The sequence below is a fragment of the Homo sapiens genome, chromosome 4, assembly GCF_000001405.40.
Source record: "Homo sapiens chromosome 4, GRCh38.p14 Primary Assembly".
Classification (NCBI taxonomy): domain Eukaryota; kingdom Metazoa; phylum Chordata; class Mammalia; order Primates; family Hominidae; genus Homo; species Homo sapiens.
The window spans coordinates 74,364,886-74,388,972 of NC_000004.12; the positions used below are offsets into that span (position 1 = coordinate 74,364,886).

Genomic DNA, 24,087 nt, shown 5'->3' on the forward strand with positions numbered 1-24,087 from the left:
CCATCTGGTCCACGCTCCCCACCTCCCGGAGGGAGATGGAAAAGTTTCGGGAGTAGTCCCCGGCCAATCGGAAAGACATTTTTTCATTCCTCAACCACTACTCTCAGGTGCTCCAGGGAGGGAGGATGACTTCCTGACGGTCCTCCTGCCGCTCCTCCCTCGGGCCAATTATGAAACTCTGGGCACTCTTGACCTCACCCCGTTAGGGCCCGGGAGGGGCTCCCTAGTATAAAGTTCGCAGCACCAGACAGTTGAGCTCACTTGCCTGATATTTCCAGTGTCAGAGGGACACAGCCAACGTGGGGTCCCTTCTAGGCTGACAGCCGCTCTCCAGCCACTGCCGCGAGCCCGTCTGCTCCCGCCCTGCCCGTGCACTCTCCGCAGCCGCCCTCCGCCAAGCCCCAGCGCCCGCTCCCATCGCCGATGACCGCGGGGAGGAGGATGGAGATGCTCTGTGCCGGCAGGGTCCCTGCGCTGCTGCTCTGCCTGGGTAAGTTCTCCCCCTCTGGCTTCCGGCCGCCCCAAAGAGGAGACAAATAAGGAAGGCTCCTGTGCATTTGTCATTCGACAAGTACGGAGTTGTCTCCAGGTTCAAGTGTGCTCTATTTAAAATTACGTCTTGTTTTGTGAGTCTGTCTTCCCCTATGGTGGGACTGGGGTGGGGGGGACTGGGGATCGATGTTAAAATGCTTTTTATTGGTGAATTAATTATTGGCATATATGTTATGCATGGATTGAAATATCTCCTTATTAAACAAAATAAAAAGTTGTTGAAAAAGCTTTTTTTTTTTTTTTGAAAAGTTGCCAGTCCTAGAAATCTAAAGGCCTGGAACGCACTGTTAACATTTCATGTCTTGTTCCTTTTTGTTGGAGAGTGGGGAATAGAAACTAGCGTAAGAAATTTTTTGGAGGGGGGAAAAAGCTTTTCTCCTCTGTCTTGCGCTCAGTTTTCTAAAACCTAGCCTGGTTTAGCTTTCCCGGAGGAGCTGGTATGCGCCAGTGCCAGTTGGCTGAGCTCCAGACACAAGAGAAATAAAACACTGGTCGAGGGTATCTGGAGCAGAAGGGCCCTGGGCAGGTCCTGGCGCTCCCCACCGCCCTTCGCCCCTACACCTGCTGCTTGCGTTTTTCCCTGCAGCCTCCCAAGCAGCCTCTGGAGCAAGCGTTCTGCACTTGCTGCTAATTGCACTCCATAGCCTGTGATCGCTGAGGGTATTTAAATGCCAGTCTTCCTATTTGAGATGATTTAGTTCAAGGGGAAAAATTTTCTAAATAGCCTTTCTGTTAAAAAAAAATTACTTCTTTCCAATTCCTTAAACTTCAGTTTAAGGAATTTGAAAGAGTTTGAAGTCGTATATGAATATCTTAATAAAAAAATAAAAGTTACCACCAGTCTCATATTCTCCCTGGAGTTGGAATGAGGCTGATTCCCCAGACACTCTAACTCTACCTGTGAAGGATGTGACTGTTAAATTATTATTTTGGCACACCTTATCTCAGGGGTTGAGAGACCTAATGAAATGCATACTATGCATAATTGAAACTTACAAGTCTAAGTCCAGGAACACAAGTGGAAACTAGATATGTGGTTTCTGCCAAAACTGAGCTAAGAAAGACTTGCTAGAAGATTCTCAGTAAACAATGTGGCTTTGCTGTCTTTGTTTTGAAAAGAATTAAATTAGAAAGGTGACAGTCTTCCTAGAGTTAGAAATTAACCTCGAGGTCAGAATAACTTAGCACTTATTATTTTCCCCACATGTAAGGTTGCATCTGAACAATGCACATGTCTGTTCTGGGTGTTTCATTGAATATTCTAATTTGAGACAGCCAGAGCCTGTGAATAACCTGGTTACTACCCACTAGTGTGTGTGTTGTGTGTGTGTTTGTTGTCATGAAAGTGCTTACCTCCTTCATTGCATTACTTAATTATAGTTCATCTATTTCGTCAGCTGCCAAGCCCATTTCCAAATGAGTTAGGTCAGTTTCTGTTTTCCCAGTTTGTTTGGATATTTCTCTGCCACTAGGAAAGTTCCTGTTTCAAGTTCTGTATTATATCTCTAAACTCTATTCAGTTATGCAGAGCCCATAGCCTTATTTTGGCAAGACCACCTGTTATTTCTGAAATTGCCTTCTTTCCCCCAAACAAAATATTTCCTAAAAATACTTTTCCCAAATCTTGTCCTTCCCCCAGCAAAAAAGAGCGAGACATTTATTTTAAATTTTAGCATACATGTTATAACTGCTTTATGTAGTTATGACTAGGGAATAAAGTTCCAGCCTCCACCCTTAACACATACAGATTTAAATTGCTATGCACAATCATTTGGTTACTTTTAAATTTTACACTTGTTTAATATTGAGGCTCTTGTTTTATAAATTGGGGAACTGTGACCCAAGTTCACATAGAAAAATAGTGACAAAGTGAGAGTCCACACTTGGGCTTGCTAGCATTTTTGGCCTACTGAACATTAAGTAGAAGAGTTGAAATACCGGATAACATTTTTTTAAATAATCTATAATTTTAGAGCAGAATTTTGTCTTTTTTATCTTGTGATTTTTCTAAAGAGAGGAGGATAAATTTTTATGTTGAATTCTGCAGTTATGTTCAGGGGCTTTCTATTTAACATCAAACATTTTTATTCATGCCTACATGGGTTTTTGAATATGTTCCTGAATGACATCTCCAAGATAATTTAGTCGTACTTCATCAATGAGAGAGAATTAAGCAGAAGAAATATTCTTTTTTGAAAATATGAGGAGCATAAATCTCAATGAGACAATAGGCTTGTCTTTGATCATTTCTGTTGACTCTGAGAGTTTATGAGTTACCTGAGTCTTGGCACAACCTGAGATGACAAATCTTGTCAGAAAACGTGATGACAGGCCTTTCCTGTCTGGATTTTGACCAGGTACCCTCACCACCTTCTGCACAGTCTTGCCATGTGAGCAGCTTGGGTAATTGGGGTGTCTGATTCAGCACTAAGACCCAAATCCAGGAGTTGAGAAGAAAACTAACAGTTACTAAATGCCTACTGTGTGGCAGCCATGTTGTGTATTAGGTGCTTTAAATACATCATCACCTCTACTTCTTAAAATAACTGTGTGAGGTAGATTTGATTAGCCCAGTGAAGTCAAGTACCTTACAAAGACTCAGAGATAGTAAATGGCCAGGTCACTCTGTGATAATGAGGAAAGAGCCAATGAGATTCAGGGTTAGCAGGAGCATAATAAACATAGCAGATTCTAATAGAGAAGTTCCAGAGTAGCTGGGGCTGCTCCAGGGTTCAGACCCTCTCATAGGCACAGCACATGTACAAATGGACTTTCTGACTCTGTGCAAAATCAGGCAAATAAAAGGTGACTATTCTCTTAAGCTGTGCTAAAATATGTTGAATTTTTACTTAATGTTCATAATTTCTAATCAACACAGTTCCCCTAAGATATGATTTTTATTATGAAGCAGTCATTGAAGTCAGTTGACTGGGGCCCTTATTTTTATATTTTCCAAGGTTTACATTAAGTAAAGCAATAAAGAGGGTAACTTATGTCTGTTTTATTCCTTGTATTCTTTGTATATTATTGTGAATTGGATATAGCATTGATAAGGGATCAACTTGGGATCTATAGCCCATTCCTGTTAACTGTGAGAACGTAAATGTATTTCCTTGGTTTAAAAAAAATAACAATACTCATATAATCACTTCGGAGAAACTGAATTTGAATGTTTTCTGTCTATTTTTGCAAAAGAATCTCCCATTTCCTGGTTAATGTTCACGTGAAAGATGCAAATGTCAAGTAAGAAATCCTCTTCAAAGAGAATGTAAATTAAGGTGGGGTTTCCTCATCTGTCAATCTTTACTTTGAGTGTAGGCCTGTACAAATCGTCTAATTAATATGGCTGTAACTGCTGCTGGGAACATTCCATCGGGAGACAATGAGAACACTTCCCAGTGGTGTAATAGAAGAGATCCTCAGGGAGGAGTAGTCTGACAGCCATTGCCTTGACATGGCAATTCTGGAACCTTTGAAAAAATGAAGTAATGCCACATACTCAGCGTCTTCTGGAGATGCAGTTTACCTAAGACTGGGTGTTTAGTTATAGGGCACATAAAGGTTGAGTGGCCTTCTAGGTTAAAGTAATGATTTAACTTACTAGGATACTATTTATAATACTCAGGATGATTTGATAATTGTCCAGAAAAAAATGGATTTTTTAATATATCTCATAAGACTCTTAATATATAGGTTTATCCTCCATCTCCTTTTTTAAAAATTTCAGTAGCATTTGGGGTACAATTGGTTTTTTGTTACGTGGGTGAATTCTATAGTGGTGAATTGTGAGATTTTAGTGCGCCTATCACCTGAGTAGTGTACATTGTACCTAATGTGTAGTTTTTTTTCAATCCCTAGCCCACCTTCCACCCTTCCCCTTCTGAGTCTCTAAAGTCCATTATATCACTCTGTATGCCTTTGTGTACTCATAGTACATAGTACATAGTACATAGTACTCATAGTACACATAGTACATGTATAAGTGAGAACATATGGTTTTTTGGTTTTCCACTCCTGTGTTACTTCACTTGGAATAATGGCCTCCAGCTCCATCCAATTTGCTGCGAAAGACATTATTTCATTCCTTTTAATGGCTGAGTAGTATTCCATGGATATATGGATGTATTCCATGGAGATATATGTAATATTCAGAAAGAAAAGTATTAAACATTAATCTTTTAGGTTAAAAATTCTCAATTTTAAATTTGAGGCATGAAAGTGATTGATACGTGCACACACACACACATCTTTATATATGTAAGTTTTATAGTCTTGAACTAAGAGGCATAGTGTATAGTGTATAAAATACAGATTTCATGCACCAGTTTTTTCTTTCATACTTTCAGAAAGAGTGATTTATCTCTGAGCCTCAGTTTTCTCATCCGAAAAAAAAAAGGTTGTCCACAATAACCTTGTCAGGTAATTGTATGTAGATTTAATGGATAAGATGATACATGAATTCATAGAAAGCACTTTTAAAATTAGAGCTGTCATCATAAAAATGGTTTCTTACAAAAAAAAAAGCCTCATTTAGTTCTTAGGATGCCTTTTTAGCCCAGAAAGTTGTTATTGTTCCCGTTTTACAAATGAGGAAACAGGAGTACACAGCATGTAAGGCTTTGGGTTTGAATACGCTTGTATCCTTTACTGTCAATGCCCTCAAGTCACTCTTTACTTTTGGTGAAAGTACTCATCCTTTAAGACTGAAAAAGGAGCCACTTCCTTAGGCACTTCTCTGATAAGCCCTGACCCTCCTCCATTGCACCTTTCCCATTCCTTTTGTCCTATGGCCCTGTCACACCACACATCACACTGTAAGTGTGTGTATAACTCTATCCCTCCTTGCTGGTGCTATAGTCATCTTTTATCATTTCTATTGTGATAGGCTTATATTAAACACAATTAATATTTGCTAGATGGATGATCACATTGATACTTTATTTGGAGTTATCACCACTATGTTATAGACTCAATTAGCTGCACTTTAAAAATGTATTTAAAAATATTAAAAAAGATATTTTGAGAAGCAAAATACCTAGAGGTTAAGTAACAGTTTTGGAAAATTCAATTCTGTTGTTGTTTCTGATGAAGTCTAATAAGTTTTCTTCTCTCTCTTTCACATTTTTATCTCTTATTATATTATTATATTATTCAGTATTAACTGAAGATATTTGTGTGTGTGTGTGTGTGAGAGAGAGAGATAGAGAGAGAGAGACAGAAAGAGAGGAAGAGAGGAAGAGAGAGGGGTTACTGAGCTATGATATGACTGAATAAAGTGGCAGTGATATGACTGCCAGTGGCAGAAAGAGAAGCATTGTTTTAGAAATTAAAGAAACCTTAGAGAAATCTAATCCAAACTTCATTTCACCCTCTACCCCACCTCATTCCTTGTTCTCTGTTTTCAGAGATAAGGCAGCTCAGTTGCAGGGAAACAAAATAAGTATGTGAGCTAGAACTGGATTCCATTTCTCATGAGTCTAATGCAGGGTTTTTCAACCTTGTCTCAGTTGACATTAGGGACTAAATAATTCTTTGTTGCAGGGAGGCTGTCCTATGCATTGCAGGGTGTTTAGCAGCAACCCTGGTCTCTACCCACTAGATGTCAGTAGCATCCCCAGTCGTGACAACCATCATAGTCTCCAGACATTACCATATGGTAGCAATGGTCCCCAGGAGCAATTTTGCCAATGAGGGATACAATTTTGCCAACCTTGGTTGGCAATTTTGCTCCTGGTTTAGAACCAATAACATAAAATATACTTTTTTTTAATTGCTGTTACACATTGCCACCCATACTTCACAGTTTGGAAAATTAGTGCTTGAGTTACCAAGACAAAATTAATTTTAATGATAATCTGGATACAAATATAAAGCCCATTCTCATGTTTAAAAAATCAGCTTGGCAATATTTATTGCTGATTTTAGCACCGTTCACATCTAATAATGATGAGTCTTATTTACGATGGAATCATGAATACTGTCTCTGATTATTCCTTTGATAACCACCCTTTACTTCCTTTTACAACTCTACTCTCTTAGCTCTCAGCAAACTTAATTTTCTTTTTTCTCTAATTTCTTTTTCTCTTTTCTTTGCCACTTCTGTCTGCTCTCTACCACCTGTTTCTCAAAGTTCTGTTATTTTCCAGTTCATACTGTTTTCCTTGGAACATATAAATGTCTTCCATTCCTTTAAAGGCAGTATCTCCTCATATGACTTTCAAATAGACTTCTCCTAATCTCCAAATAAATTCTTATTCCTTTACTGTATTCCCAACAGCCTCAAAAATATAAATAGGTAATACCTATAGATAAACATTAAACTCAAATATGTTCACTCCCTTCATGCCTTCATGCCCAAATGCCACCACAAGCCTGCTGTCCTGCCTATGTCTCCTCCTTTTTTAATGGCAGCATTCTCTGTTTTTTTTTTTTCTGACTAGAAACTTGGCATCATCTATAAATTCTCTCCTTTCCTTACCACCCTTAGGTGTCCAACTTCTTTAAGTCTATTTAGGGCAGGAACAATGTCTTTTGTACCAGTTTTCTTTCCAGTGTTTTGTTCAATATCTTGCATGTAGACAACGCTCAATAGATATTTATTGAGTAAACATTATTTGACAAATGTAGTTACTAAAAGCAAGGATGGGGTAAGCTGCCCTCCTTTTTGATGATTGGATTGTAACTAAGCCCATCCCACCAGCTATCATGCTATGGAGGCATATGTGGCTCTCACTGAAGTCAAGGTCGCCAATGTCAACTCAAACTATATTTTCATAAACTATATTATCTGAAAGTAGAATTCCTTAGCAGCCTGCAGTGTGTGAGTTGTATTATGTGGGTTCTCTGAATAAAAAGTAATTAATTTCGAGTCTTTTGAAATCATCTTTAATGGATTCCCTTTCTCTTGTTTTGTGTGCTCTCACTGATTAAAACTTTATCCTTGCAGATTCATGTTTGGCCATAGGCATCTACAGAGAATACAATATAGTCAATATGCTTCTCAAGATGCCATTAAATATCCAGGCTTCCTGCCACAATGTGGCCATAATGAAAAGAAGGCAAATTGCAGACACTTATAGTCCAAACTGTTGCGCCTTCAGGAGATGTTTCTTTTGGAATAATAATGTAAGAATAATTTAAGTTGGATTTATAGAAGTGAGAAGCCCGATGGAAGGGAGTCAAGGTAGAAAAGGTTATAAAAAAGCTCTTCTTATGTAAGATTGTCTTGAGAAAAAAATATGTTTCCAACAGAAAATTTGAAACAATACTCTATAAATGAAGCTTTGGCTTTTAGGGGAGGCAAGTCCCACCTTTAGAGATTTTAGTCACAGAGTTCCAAACACTCAGATTAATTTAAATTGTACTTTTTTTTTTTTTTTTTTTTTTTTTGAAACAGAGTCTTGCTCTGTCACCAGGCTGGAGTGCAGTGGGGTGATCTCGGCTCACTGCAACCTCTGCTTCCCGGGTTCACGCCATTCTCCTGCCTCAGCCTCCCGAGTAGTTGGGACCACAGGCGCCCACCACCACATCTGGCTAATTTTTTTTTTTTTTTTTTTTTTTTTGGTATTTTGGTTTCACCATGTTGGCCAGGATGGTCTCGATCTCTTGACCTCATGATCCACCAGCCTCAGCCTCCCAAAGTGCTGGGTTGTACTCTTTACATAAGAGTTGGTATGTATTCTCCTGCATTCTGGAAATACTTCCGTTATGAACAAGATATACATCTTTAAATTCATATTTAGTGCAAAATAGATAATTCCCTTATATTTTGACTCACTGATTCTTTATTTGACTAGCTTTAAGTATAGCATTGTATGATAATATGTAAGCGAAATATATTAGCATTTGAAGTATGATTTAGAAATGACTACCTAAATTGGAAAGTATAACTTAATGCTTATGACTAGAAACACATGGCATATTAATATTTTTGCTACTTGTCAAGGAAGATTCTATGGCTATTTTTCAAAACTCAAAATTAAAATAATTACTTATTTTTAACCTGTTATATTAACCTTGGGTTTCATATGTTTTATCTCAAATTGCTATAGACCGTTTTTACCTTAGGTCTTAATGAAGTGCAGTTACAAAGCTAACATTAAAAATATATAGGAATAGAATTATTACTGGCAGAAGGCAAGGTTAGTTTTCTATAGATTTATATATATGTGTGTATATATGTGAGTGTATATATATATTTATATATAAGTAATATATGTATATATGTGTTCATATATATTTATATATAAGTAATATTTATAAGTATATATGTATGTATATATATAAGTATATACGTGTGCGTATATATATCTATACACACACACACACACACACACATATATATACTCTCTGAAAAGTAGGTTGCTACTAGAAGGTGCTGACAGTCTTTTCAGTATCTGATGTGATAATGAGTTTTAGAGTTATTTTGACCAAGGTGAAGCAAGAGCTTATCAAATAGTGGAATTAAATTTAAAACAAAAAGACATCCAAAAACAGTGAAGGCATATTCACTCCTTAAAAGCACACAAGATCCAACAAGCCTATTACGTTATAGACAAATTCTAAAATCACAGACTGCCATGGAAGATGGTAGAAAATGAACAGTCTGAGTAGGTTGGCATGTGACCACAGCAAAAGTGTGAACAAAGAGGATTTTGCTATGTGTTTGGGCTGGACAAATGCTATGATTCTGCACAAGTTTGCTTTTCTGGTCTAAATAGCCTAAAAGGTTAAACTGGGAAAATGAGATGCATTTCTTTTATTCTGTAATCTATCTGATTTTAATTTGGATCATTTTTATTTTCTTGATTGTTTTCCAGAATAGTCATTTTACCCTAAGATTTGCAATTATTTTGCTGACTTGGCTTGGTCATCCAGTCACCAAATCCTAGCCTCCTCTGTACTGGCCTCCTTCTGGATGAGCCCTCAGTGCAATCCTTAGGAAGCAAGGTAAATCCAGGCACAATGGCTCAAGCCTGTAATCCTAGCATTTTTGGAGGCCAACATGGGAGGATCATTGAGCCCAGGGATTCGAGGCTGCAGTGAGCAGTGATTGCACCACTGCACTCCAGTCTGGGCAAATGAGTAAGAGCCTCGAAAAACAAAATAAATATAAATAAAAATGAAGCAAGGTCAAAATAAACCGTATGCAATAGGAAGTACATTTTCTACATCTGGCATTTTGTCTGACTGTTGGGCAACCACTTCTTAGTGCTCCAGGGCCCACGACATTTACTGCTATTGCCATTCCTATGATGGCACTCAACCTCTCCCACGCGCGGTCCCCAATATTGTGTAAGGGTGTAGGCTCGGTCCTGACTCACAGGGAAGAGGCGATTTGTATCCTCTGAGTCACTGGCACCACTTCCTGCTGGCACATCTGAGATTTCACTGAAACATAATCTGAAAAATGAAGGCAGAGAGATATATAGGTGAGGTTCACATTCCTAAAACCCATTTGGAAATTTGATAGAAACAATGACCTCTGAATGCATTTCCATTTTTGCAGCTGTATTGTAAAAGAAGCGCCAACTGCCAATTTTGAGTTTACAGATCATCTGTGTTATATCACCTGGCAAGAAATTCCTCTGTATCTTAGTTACCAATGCCACCAGACAAGAAATGCCACCAGATCTGTTTTTTTGACATAGATACTATCTAAAATATTTAGTATCGTAGTGAATTATTTGCTTAGGAAGAATCTACTGTCAAGAATGAAAAAGCCAAATATAGTATTTGAGGTCCAATCATAGAGAAATTATGTTCAAACAACACTAAGGTCATGAAAAGCCTGACATTAAGGAAATATATGCATGCTTTAGCATTTATTCCCTCCCTGTATGACTCATTAAAGTAATGACTAGCGATTCTTTTTTTTTTTTTTTTTTTTTTTTTTTTTTGAGAGGGAGTCTTCCTCTGTCGCCCAGGCTGGAGTGCAGTGGCGCGATCTCCGCTCCCTGCAAGCTCCGCCTCCTGGGTTCAAGCCATTCTCCTGCCTCAGCCGCCTGAGTAGCTGGGACTACAGGCGCCCGCCACCATGCCTGGCTAATTTTTTTTTTTTTTTTTGTATTTTTAATAGAGACGGGGTTTTACCGTGTTAGCCAGGATGGTCTCGATATCCTGACCTCGTGATCCGCACGCCTCGGCCTCCCAAAGTGCTGGGATTACAGGCGTGAGCCACCGCGCCCGGCCTGACCAGCGATTCTTAAGGTTAACAGGATAGTGGATGTAATATTTCTCTGGAGATAGATTTTTTATTCATTGGATCGCATTCACTCTTCTACCCTAGTTTGCAAGTGTTTGGGAGCAGACGCATATTGCAGGAACATTTGAGAACCACTATTTTAAAGCAATAGTGCTGTGCAGATGGACATGACTTAGAATTAATTTTGCTGTTTTCTTGGCCACATCCATCCATGATGGAATTGCAGTTATACACTTTAATTTGAAAGGAACATTTAAAATTATATACGATTCCACCTGTAAAATATCCTGCTGTAGGATTAATGCAGCAAGTCTCACAGAAACTATCCTGAGCGATGGACTGTGTCCAAGGGAGCGTCACGAGTAAGGAAAGTCCAGTCTTTGTGGAGGCACACCCTGGGCTGAACATTCTTTAATTAACAAAGACAAACATTTCACCTGTGGCCTGAACAACTGGAACAAAGTTTCCAACGGTGGAAAAACTAACAACTACTAAAAACCTTTAAAAAAGAAGACTAACAGCAACACTCCAAAGTAAGTTGGATTCTATAATAGTTGCAGGTTGCAATTGGAGGCAATTCCAAGCAGGAAAGGTTAGGCTTTAGTTTATGCAAAGGATAGAGAAACTAGCTTCAAATGTGCATTTTTTTCCCCCTGGCTAGCATTTTCCTGGAGGGAGAATTGGTAATGTCTCCTCCAAAGCTTTCCTCAGTTGAAGAAATATGTAGGAATAGGAATGTCAAGGATGTAAGCACGTGCAACTAAAACTCCAATTTGTACCGAGGAAACTGTATTAGTTAAAGGATTTCATTCTTCAGTAGTGAAAGTATGGTGAAATTATTATTGGGATATAAAACAAAATTGACTTGAATGAGAATCTAGCTTATCCTCCATAAAAAGCTTAGTGAAATAGTTTTCAACTCTGTTCAACTGACAATGAAATCTAGGCTTTAGCTATTTCTTTGTCATTCAACAAAAATATATTTTTTGTAGTTCCACAAGAGCAATTGAAGCAGCATTTATATTGTAGAAAAAGCATGGAGTGGGGAGGGGATAATTCTGAACTTTAAAGACAACAGAATTTTCAAATTGTTGAAGAACAGGAGACTTGATTTCAAAAGATAAATTTGTAACTCTTCTCTTCTGTGGTCACAAGTGATCTTAGACAAGACATTTAATTTAAATACACTGAGGGTATTTGAGACTAATAACTACTTCACAGAATTAAGTGTGAAATTTGATATATGAAGTTATACATTATGATGCTGATGCCGATGTGTAATTTACTTTTCAGAACCCAAAAATATACAATCGGCTTAACAGATACAAGCCTTCTCTAACTGAGAAAAAATAAAATTCTTGTATTACACGAATTAAATCTTTCTTTACAGTACCAAATTACAGAGATAGACAAACTTGTTATAAACCAGAAGAGGGCACTGTCCACATACACTGCTAAAACCAGAGGCTAGAAGTTGAGAGTCAAGGAACATTTATGGGCTGTGACAGCCATTTCAGAAAAAAAAAAAAAAAAACATTAGTTTATTTCACTGTATTCTCCCCAAAAATCTATAAGATAGGAAAAATTAACACCCAGAAAAGTAAATTAATTTTTTTTCAAGATCACGTAGCTCAAGTTTTCCTCACAAGACTGCCTTTCCACCATAATTTGTGGCCTCTATGTTGGGTTAAATACTCTACTTCAATTACAGCTATCATAATTTGTTCTCTGTGATGTCCATTATACTCTAGTATTATTGCCTATTTCCAAATTCTATAAAGTGGCCCATTTAACAATATGTATCCTTGGGAAAAGTTATTTAAACTCTTTATGCTTTAGTTTTCTCTAATGGGGATAATAATAGTATCTTCCTCAAATTGGCCCTGAGAGGACTAAATAATATAATACAGATAAGGTGAATAGGACCATACCTGGTTGTATTAGTTTGTTTTCACACTATTATAAAGGACTTCCCTGAGACTGGGTAATTTATAAAGGAAAGAACTTTAATTGACTCACAGTTCTATATGGCTGGGGAAGTCTCAGGAAACTTATCATGGCCGAAGGCGAAGGGGAAGCAAGCCCCTTTTTCACAAGGTGGCAGGAGAGAGAGGCGGGAAGGAGGAACTTCCAAACACTTATAAAACCATCAGATCTCATGAGAACTCACTCACTATCCTGAGAACAGCATGCAGGAAACTACCCGCATTGATTCAATCACCTCCCTCCTTGGACACATGGGGATTACGGGTCCCTCTCTCAATACATGGGGATTGCAATTCCAGATGAGATGTGGGTGGGGACACAGAGCCAAACTATATCACTGGTACATAGTACATGTTCAAGAGATGGATCGTCCTCTGTCTGAACTGTGAAAGAAATGGAAAGTTGAATATATTTTGTTGCCTTTATGGAGGCATTAATCATCCTTTCATAACAGTTACCACTTACTTAGCTACTTCAACGAAACAGGTTGATTCAAACTCTTCCTGTGCTTACAGAAACTGGATTCTCAGTGTGGTTCATCTGGCATGCCTATTCCTTCTCATATTAGATAGGATATATTCTGATTTTACCTAGATTACATTTACCTAGCTGCCTATCAGTCAAGGAGAATTTTCAGGAGTAGGAAGTCATTCTAGTTATCACGCACCCTAGGCCAATAAGCACCGGAATCCAAACGAAAATGTCCAACCGACTAAACAAAATCACATAGGAGGTATTTATTCTCAAAAGACAACCTTTAGGGTGTAGAAAAAGCAAGCTTAACACACATGTCATTATCCCCCACGGTAGGTATTATTCATTTCTTCAAACAAAATATGTCTAATTTTTTTCAAATCTCAGTTCTGAAATTCGTTATTCCCCAAAGCAATTGCAAGCTGAAGCCATTAATTAATTTAGTGGAGCTTAATTGCTGCTACTACTACTACTACCACCACCATTAGTATTTACTATATAACAGTTACTTAAATAAATTGGAAAGAGTGTTTGAAGTGCAAATACCTAAAGCTTAAACAGAAGCAGCTAAAGCTCTTAACTAAACATCTGTGAAATTACAAGGGTTCTTCTTATGATGATTCCTACACAATTCAGAAAGTACTTGAGTCATTCTTGATATCTATGTTCCAAAATTTTATCTTTTCACTGAATACACATGATGAAACAGCTGATTCAGACTCTTCCTATGCTGATAGAAACTGGATTCTAGGGCTCAGTATGGTTCATCTGGGATGCCTGTTCCTCCTCATATTAGACAAGATATATTCTGATTTTACCTAGCTTTCACTGTATTAATTAAAATCTATACTCATGTGTAATGCAATGCAAAGAGTAACTTAGGTACATAAATCAATAATGAATGTTTCTTAGGTTGAGTTTCTTGTTGTTACTGTAAGTGGAAACCGATTTTTTATTTAGAGCCTTTTTTTGTGATGGGGTCTGATTAGGAGCATTTCTCTGAACACATGATGGAATAAAACAGTGGAAATTCTCCAACTGATGTGCGTCTTAAGAAATCAAACTTCAAAATCAAATCTTTGAAAATGTTACTGTGAAATATTTAGAGCAGGTCAAATCTGTAACCGTGAATGTAATGCCAAGGCTTTTATCCTTCCACAGAATAGCTGGGGGAGTTTGTATTTTCTGTTACATGCCTGTTTCCATGAATTATTTTGTTTTATGGTTTTGATGGACCAAATCTGTGAAACAAAACAACTCTATAAGTACTGCAGTTATGTAGAAATTTGATCAAGATTTCTTTCCTTAACACATTAGTTATATATTCGATTTTTCTTCATAAATAGGTTTCCATCTTCTACAGGCAGTCCTCAGTACAACTGTGATTCCATCATGTATCCCAGGAGAGTCCAGTGATAACTGCACAGCTTTAGGTAAGCCCAAGTTTGTCAATGTGGCATCAAGAGACTACATATTTTTAAACAGAAATATAAACTCAAAGACTATAAGTATGTGATAATTTTTTAAAAAAGGGTAAGAATAGCTGCTATATTACTTTTTAAATCACCATATAAACTAATGTTCTGAAAAAATTATATAAAGGAATAACTGGTAGGAGAGGGACCGGATAAATTATATACACAGATTTGATTGTGAAGAGATAGGGAACAACAACAACAAAAAATTGCATTCCCTTTGGCCGTCTCCTGGCACTTTACTGCGAAACATCCTCAGAGACCACACTGACTGGATTCCAGGCAAAACAGCAAAACAGGAAAACTTTGTACAGAATAGGTTCTCTATCTCTCTCTTTCTACCCCTCTCTCTCTCTTTGTAAGAAGAACAAATGATAGTCGTTTCTTTCTAGGCACAGTGTTCATTCAGAAAACATTTATCGAGTATGTAGTATGCACCAAACGCTGTGCTAAGGCATACAGATACAAAGATAAGTAATACAGTTTTTTCCCCTCGAGGACTGTGGACTCCAGATATGGTCCAAGGGGGATCAGCTTTATCTTCATTCTGAGTTATTGAATCAAGATAACTGAGTTATTTTGAGGAAGCAGGATATTTTCCATAACAACTTTATCTTTTGTCCCTCACCATCAGGTTCTCTGGAGGTTTGGTCAGCCTCCTCCGCAGGTTTGGTCAGCCTCCTCCGCATCATCTTTTTTTTTTTCCTTCTTTGGTTATTTGGGCAAGAGTATTACAATCAAATTGCTATTTTAAAAGTAATTTTATAAGCATCTTTCACATTTTGGTATCTAAAGCTTTCTAAAGTGAATTTTACACAAAGGCTCCTATTTTCATTGCTGTTATTTGTCTACCAGAGGCCTTTCTCACTCAGGGTTTGTCTAGTTTGGATTCAGGCCTCATTATCAGAGATATTGGGAGACTGGTTAATTTCATTAATGGTAACCTCAGCAACTTGAAAACATACACCAAAGCCAGCCTTACTGATTAAAAATCCACTGTAGAATTAAGCTCCTTTGAATTAATTAATGGTATGAGCTTGCAACTGCTTTGGGGAGTAATAGATTTCAGAAATGTTTTGGGACTTGAGAAAAATTAGACAAATTTTGCTTGAAGAAATAACACCCACTTGGAGGATAATGACACCTGTGTGTTAAATTTGCCTTCTCTACCCTTACAGGTTGTCTTTTGAGAATGAAATCCTTTCATGTTATCTTCTTTTGTTTAGTCTGTTGGACATTTTCCTTTGGATTCAAGTGTTTATTGATTGGTCTAGGGGGTGTGACAACTAGAGTGACTTCCTACTTCTCAAAATTCTCCTTGACAGATTGGCATCTGACTTGTTGTGTAGAAGTAGTTCAGTGGTTACTGTTATGAAAGAGTGAGAAATTCTTCCATGAAGGCTGCAGAATATATTCAACTTTCCACTTCTTTTACAGTTCAGACAGAAGACAATCCACGTGTGGCTCAAGTGTCAATAACAAAGTGTAGCTCTGACATGAATGGCTATTGTTTGCATGGACAGTGCATCTATCTGGTGGACATGAGTCAAAACTACTGCAGGTAATATGTCAGAAATAAACAAACACAGTTTGTAAAATTTTGTTTTATAGATTTAGGGGTACAAGTGCAGATTTGCTAGTGGATATATTCAGTAGTGGTGAAGTCTGAGCTTTTAGAGTACCTACCCCTCAAATAGTGTGCATGGAACCCATTAGGTAATTTTTCATCCCTTAACCCCCCCAAAACTCTTCTACCTTTTGAAGTCTCCAGAGTCTATTACTCCACTCTCTATGACCATGTGTACACATTATTTAGCTCCCACTTGTGAGAACATGTGATAAACAAATGCAGTTTTACTCTTTGTATTTCTATTTTTATATTTTGAAATTACCCTATATTTCCATGGGCTGTTAAATGCAGTATATATATTATTAGAAACTTTTCTGAGTTTTTAAAAATTAGGTAGTAAATAGTAGCTTTTAAATTGCACACATATGTCAGAGGTGCAGAGCAGGGAGGACTTCTGATGCTTCTCACACTTGCCAAGATGGTGTCTCTCTGCTTTGGATCTTTTCCTTCAATTTCTATATCAGGTATTGTTTTAAGAATTGATTCCAGGCCGGACGCGTTGGCTCATGCCTGTAATCCCAGCACTTTGGGAGGCCGAGGCGGGCGGATCACGGGGTCAGGAGATCAAGACCATCCTGGCGAACACGGTGAAACCCCGTCTCTACTAAAAATACAAAAAAAAAAAAAAATTAGCCAGGGGTAGTGGCGGACGCCTGAAGTCCCAGCTACTCGGGAGGCTGAGGCAGGAGAATGGCATGAACCCGGGGGGTGGAGCTTGCAGTGAGCGGAGATCATGCCACTGTACTCCAGCCTGGGCAACACAGCGAGACTCCGTCTCAAAAAAAAAAAAAAAAAAAAAAAAAAGAATTGATTCCAGGCCAGGCGCAGTGGCTCAACCCTGTAACCCCAGCACTTTGGGAGGCTGAGGCGGGCAGACCACTTGAGGTCAGGAGTTCCTGACCAGCCTGGCCAACATGGTGAAACCCCGCCTCTACTAAAAATACAAAAATTAGCGAGGCGTGGTGGCGCAAGACTGTAGTCTACTCAGGAGGCTGAGATAGGAGAATTGCTTGAACCTGGGAGGCGGAGGTTGCAGTGAGCCGAGAGATCACACCACTGCTATCCAGCCTGGGCGACAGAACGAGACTCCATCTCAAAAAAACCAAACAGACAAACAAACAAAAAAAGAATTGATTCCACTGATTTAGACAAAAGGAATCTCAAACCTGTACAACTTACAAAACACCACTGTGGACTGTCAGCCACCATGACAGCTGAACACAACCGTCATTTTAATACTACAATTTAGTCCAAGAGCTACGTGGAGCCCTTTTATCATTACTGGTCTAACTCAATCTTTGAAATCCTCTTTACAATCTTTAGCAAATTTTGTTGATTTCTTGCATTACAGTGTGATGTTAGTCCTTATAAAACTAATTCATAACCATGATTTCCTTTTTAAGTAACTGATCTTTCTTTCTTCCGTATTTTCCTTCAGGTGTGAAGTGGGTTATACTGGTGTCCGATGTGAACACTTCTTTTTAACCGTCCACCAACCTTTAAGCAAAGAATATGTGGCTTTGACCGTGATTCTTATTATTTTGTTTCTTATCACAGTCGTCGGTTCCACATATTATTTCTGCAGATGGTAAGTCAGTGTGGTTTTATACTCTGCTTTTACAAATTACTTTTACATAATGCAGACCTATAAACTGGGTAAAAATATGGATAAAGTATTAGAGAGATAAGATCAAACCTGTACAAATGATATTTACAAGAGTTGAGAAACTATTAAGTATTATGCCCAACACCTGAGTGATGGGATCAGCTGTACCCCTAATCTCAGCATCATACAATATATCCTGTTAAGAAACCTGCATGTGTACCCCCGAATCTGAAATAACTTGAAATTATTTTTTAAAAATATGTTTTTGCTGCAGAACATCTGGATTGAACTTTATTATCAGCTCTGATACTTATTACCTATGTGACCTTACATAAGTCAAATTGAGAGTATCAATTCCCTTCTTTATCAAATATGGACAGAAATTATTATCTTACATTAGTTATAGGGTGGTTGCTTTTAGTATGTAATATGATATTTCATGTGAAAGTAAATCATAGGATAGGTGCTACTGTTATAGTTAACCACCTGAATTTAATTCCTCAAGTCACATTTTTTATTTTATAAAAAACAACCTTGTAAATTAATAACCTTAGAAGCTTGGGTTATCTTACAGTTTAAGGCAGACTGGTGGAACTATTTCTAGACAATTATAAAAAATGGTTGTTAAAAAATAGTTTGTGTCAGTCCCCCAAAACAGTCGTACCTCATCCTCATGTGCATTATTGTCACAAGCTGAAAACAGAAAAATAGAAAGTGAACATTGAAAGTATAGTTTGGCATTTTTTTAAGGGTTAGGAGCAAAGGATGGGAACAGTGTGAATTAATTAATAACAGTTCCCTTTAAAATGTCTCCATGAAACATATTTTGAAACAGTTACAAATTACTCAAGGTGAATTTACGTTTTTATTTTTCTGTGAAAGTAGTGCACTTCCAATTTTGAAGGTCTGAAAGTGTGCTACTTTCATAATATTAAATTTATTTTGTCCACATTTGATTCTAAGTATCCATCAAATAATAATGCCTTCCTAATAAGTTGCCATGACAGAACTAAATATTATTAAAACTGAAATATGCCTGCAAATCTTTGACCACAATCCTTTCCTTTATAGATGGGGCACTGAGGTTTAGAGAGGTTCATTCAAATATCCCAGCTCATATAGTTGACAAATGCCAGAGTGAAGAACAAATTCTTTCTAATTCATATTCTTACAGTAAACATAGACATGATGTGGTTTCCTCAAAGCTACATGTCTTATTTCCAAAATAGGGACAAAATAAACTCAAAAATATTAGGAAAATAGCTTAATGAATAAATGAAAGAAGATTCTAAATTATGATAAATCTATGAATCCTAGCTATGAGACCTTGGACCTTGGGCACATTATATACAACCCATTTGTATTTCACTTTCTTCATCTGTAAGATGAGGATGGTAACAGCAAATGTGAGAGTAAAATAAATAATGCATGTATAGCACTTAGAAAATTGTAGGTCACCAAATTAGTGCCTGATAAATATTATTTTTATTTTGATTAGTGATAGCATTATATCAATGTGATGGAAAGAGTGTATTAATGTAGCATGATTTGTAAATATTCATTCCTTAGAAGGGAGGAAGGAAAAAGAAAGAGAGACAGAAAAAGAAAACCTAAAATTCAGACTTAAATGTGGCCACACGCCTCTTGGAATTTCACAATATTCATGATCACGTTAAAGACTTTGAGAAACTCTTTAAGTGTATTTTATCATTTCATTCCAAAATTGTTTGACTACAGCACATCACCTCTTCATCCCTCTTTTTTTTTTTTTTTTTAACATTGTCCAACCTAAATCTGTTCAACTTTGTCATTTTGGAAACACTATGCTAATGTGCCTTTGGAGTCCATATATAACACACTTGTTCCTTTGCTATTAACTGCAGTGCTAACAGTTTCGTTTGTGAATATTTCCAGGTACAGAAATCGAAAAAGTAAAGAACCAAAGAAGGAATATGAGAGAGTTACCTCAGGGGATCCAGAGTTGCCGCAAGTCTGAATGGCGCCATCAAACTTATGGGCAGGGATAACAGTGTGCCTGGTTAATATTAATATTCCCATTTTATTAATAATATTTATGTTGGGTCAAGTGTTAGGTCAATAACACTGTATTTTAATGTACTTGAAAAATGTTTTTATTTTTGTTTTATTTTTGACAGACTATTTGCTAATGTATAATGTGCAGAAAATATTTAATATCAAAAGAAAATTGATATTTTTATACAAGTAATTTCCTGAGCTAAATGCTTCATTGAAAGCTTCAAAGTTTATATGCCTGGTGCACAGTGCTTAGAAGTAAGCAATTCCCAGGTCATAGCTCAAGAATTGTTAGCAAATGACAGATTTCTGTAAGCCTATATATATAGTCAAATCGATTTAGTAAGTATGTTTTTTATGTTCCTCAAATCAGTGATAATTGGTTTGACTGTACCATGGTTTGATATGTAGTTGGCACCATGGTATCATATATTAAAACAATAATGCAATTAGAATTTGGGAGAAGCAAATATAGGTCCTGTGTTAAACACTACACATTTGAAACAAGCTAACCCTGGGGAGTCTATGGTCTCTTCACTCAGGTCTCAGCTATAATTCTGTTATATGAGGGGCAGTGGACAGTTCCCTATGCCAACTCACGACTCCTACAGGTACTAGTCACTCATCTACCAGATTCTGCCTATGTAAAATGAATTGAAAAACAATTTTCTGTAATCTTTTATTTAAGTAGTGGGCATTTCATAGCTTCACAATGTTCCTTTTTTGTATATTACAACATTTATGTGAGGTAATTATTGCTCAACAGACAATTAGAAAAAAGTCCACACTTGAAGCCTAAATTTGTGCTTTTTAAGAATATTTTTAGACTATTTCTTTTTATAGGGGCTTTGCTGAATTCTAACATTAAATCACAGCCCAAAATTTGATGGACTAATTATTATTTTAAAATATATGAAGACAATAATTCTACATGTTGTCTTAAGATGGAAATACAGTTATTTCATCTTTTATTCAAGGAAGTTTTAACTTTAATACAGCTCAGTAAATGGCTTCTTCTAGAATGTAAAGTTATGTATTTAAAGTTGTATCTTGACACAGGAAATGGGAAAAAACTTAAAAATTAATATGGTGTATTTTTCCAAATGAAAAATCTCAATTGAAAGCTTTTAAAATGTAGAAACTTAAACACACCTTCCTGTGGAGGCTGAGATGAAAACTAGGGCTCATTTTCCTGACATTTGTTTATTTTTTGGAAGAGACAAAGATTTCTTCTGCACTCTGAGCCCATAGGTCTCAGAGAGTTAATAGGAGTATTTTTGGGCTATTGCATAAGGAGCCACTGCTGCCACCACTTTTGGATTTTATGGGAGGCTCCTTCATCGAATGCTAAACCTTTGAGTAGAGTCTCCCTGGATCACATACCAGGTCAGGGAGGATCTGTTCTTCCTCTACGTTTATCCTGGCATGTGCTAGGGTAAACGAAGGCATAATAAGCCATGGCTGACCTCTGGAGCACCAGGTGCCAGGACTTGTCTCCATGTGTATCCATGCATTATATACCCTGGTGCAATCACACGACTGTCATCTAAAGTCCTGGCCCTGGCCCTTACTATTAGGAAAATAAACAGACAAAAACAAGTAAATATATATGGTCATATACATATTGTATATATATTCATATACAAACATGTATGTATACATGACCTTAATGGATCATAGAATTGCAGTCATTTGGTGCTCTGCTAACCATTTATATAAAACTTAAAAACAAGAGAAAAGAAAAATCAATTAGATCTAAACAGTTATTTCTGTTTCCTATTTAATACAGCTGAAGTCAAAATATGTAAGAACACATTTTAAATACTCTACTTACAGTTGGCCCTCTGTGGTTAGTTCCACATCTGTGGATTCAACCAACCAAGGACGGAAAATGCTTAAAAAATAATACAACAACAACAAAAAATACATTATAACAACTATTTACTTTTTTTTTTTTCTTTTTGAGATGGAGTCTCGCTCTGTTGCCCAGGTTGGAGTGCAGTGGCACGATCTCGGCTCACTGCAACCTCACCTCCCGGGTTCAAGAGATCCTCCTGCCTCAGCCTCCTGAGCAGCTGGGACTACAGGCGCATGCCACCATGCCCAGCTAATTTTTGTATTTTTAGTAGAGGCGGGGTTTCACCATGTTGGCCAGGATGGTCTCAATCTCCTAACCTTGAGATCCACCCTCCACAGCCTCCCAAACTGCTGGGATTACAGGTGTGAGCCACCGCACGTAGCATTTACATTAGGTATTACAAGTAATGTAAAGATGATTTAAGTATACAGGAGGATGTGAATAGGTTATATGCAAGCACTATGCCCTTTTATATAAGTGACTTGAACATCTGTGCCCGATTTTAGTATGTGCAGGGGGGCGATCTGGGAATCAGTCCCCTGTGGATACCAAGGTACAACTGTATTTATTAACGCTTACTAGATGTGAGGAGAGTCTGAATATTTTCAGTGATCTTGGCTGTTTCAAAAAAATCTATTGACTTTTCAATAAATCAGCTGCAATCCATTTATTTCATTTACAAAAGATTTATTGTAAGCATCTCAATCTTGGTTTGTCAGTTTATCTTAAGCATGTCAATTCATAAAAACAAGTCATTTTTGTATTTTTCATCTTTAAGAATGCTTAAAAAAGCTAATCCCTAAAATAGTTAGATCTTTGTAAATGCATATTAAATAATAAAGTATGACCCACATTACTTTTTATGGGTGAAAATAAGACAAAAATAATAGTTTTAGTGAGGATGGTGCTGAGTAAACATAAAAACTGATTTGCTCTCAGCTGATGTGTCCTGTACACAGTGGGAAGATTTTAGTTCACACTTAGTCTAACTCCCCCATTTTACAGATTTCTCACTATATATATTTCTAGAAGGGGCTATGCATATTCAATGTATTGAGAACCAAAGCAACCACAAATGCATAAATGCATAATTTATGGTCTTCAACCAAGGCCACATAATAACCCAGTTAACTTACTCTTTAACCAGGAATATTAAGTTCTATAACTAGTACTCAAGGTTTAACCTTAAAATTAAGATTTCCTTAACCTTAACCTTAAAATTGATATTATATTAAACATACATAATACAATGTAACTCCACTGTTCTCCTGAATATTTTTTGCTCTAATCTCTCTGCCGAAAGTCAAAGTGATGGGAGAATTGGTATACTGGTATGACTACGTCTTAAGTCAGATTTTTATTTATGAGTCTTTGAGACTAAATTCAATCACCACCAGGTATCAAATCAACTTTTATGCAGCAAATATATGATTCTAGTGTCTGACTTTTGTTAAATTCAGTAATGCAGTTTTTAAAAACCTGTATCTGACCCACTTTGTAATTTTTGCTCCAATATCCATTCTGTAGACTTTTGAAAAAAAAGTTTTTAATTTGATGCCCAATATATTCTGACCGTTAAAAAATTCTTGTTCATATGGGAGAAGGGGGAGTAATGACTTGTACAAACAGTATTTCTGGTGTATATTTTAATGTTTTTAAAAAGAGTAATTTCATTTAAATATCTGTTATTCAAATTTGATGATGTTAAATGTAATATAATGTATTTTCTTTTTATTTTGCACTCTGTAATTGCACTTTTTAAGTTTGAAGAGCCATTTTGGTAAACGGTTTTTATTAAAGATGCTATGGAACATAAAGTTGTATTGCATGCAATTTGAAGTAACTTATTTGACTATGAATGTTATCGGATTACTGAATTGTATCAATTTGTTTGTGTTCAATATCAGCTTTGATAATTGTGTACCTTAAGATATTGAAGGAGAAAATAGATAATTTACAAGATATTATTAATTTTTATTTATTTTTCTTGGGAATTGAAAAAAATTGAAATAAATAAAAATGCATTGAACATCTTGCATTCAAAATCTTCACTGACAATGCAGCCTCATTCTTTTTTTTTCTTTTGCAATTTTTTCCCCACAATACATTAAAGGGTTTAAAAGCAGTGACAGGGATATAATGTGTGTAGACATAATGACTCAATGGTGTTAATTTGGGAAAACATTCTATAAATGTATCACGTTTTATAGCCAGCATAGTGAAGAATTTCTTGTAATAGAAGGAGCCACATTAGTTATAAAATTCTAG

General features: G+C 36.8%; 1 protein-coding gene and 1 long non-coding RNA gene across 2 annotated transcripts in view, besides 1 other annotated feature; one reads left to right on the forward strand and one right to left on the reverse strand.

Annotated features, from left to right (window-relative positions):
* Positions 1 to 456, reverse strand: part of LOC105377276 (uncharacterized) — an 87,048-nt gene extending 86,592 nt beyond the window's left edge. Inside the window, exon 1 of the long non-coding RNA NR_188415.1 lies at positions 266 to 456. This is a non-coding gene — a long non-coding RNA (uncharacterized LOC105377276). The remainder of the gene's footprint in view (positions 1 to 265) is intronic.
* EREG (epiregulin) lies at positions 260 to 23,864 on the forward strand. The gene is made up of 5 exons (NM_001432.3): positions 260 to 490; positions 14,563 to 14,649; positions 16,129 to 16,252; positions 17,760 to 17,909; positions 19,842 to 23,864. The coding sequence occupies exons 1-5, from the start codon at positions 424 to 426 to the stop codon at positions 19,921 to 19,923; spliced, it is 510 nt and encodes a 169-aa protein (NP_001423.1). The 5' UTR covers positions 260 to 423; the 3' UTR covers positions 19,924 to 23,864.
* Positions 9,293 to 10,492: an enhancer, noted in NCBI's record as "P300/CBP strongly-dependent group 1 enhancer chr4:75239895-75241094 (GRCh37/hg19 assembly coordinates)". NCBI's record gives its function as "activates an origin of replication core promoter dependent on BRD2, BRD4, P300/CBP, MED14 and CDK7 cofactors, with strong dependence on P300/CBP, by STARR-seq in HCT116 cells {active_cell/tissue: HCT116}" and the evidence as "EXISTENCE:reporter gene assay evidence [ECO:0000049][PMID:35650434]".
* Positions 23,865 to 24,087: the final 223 nt, after the last annotated feature.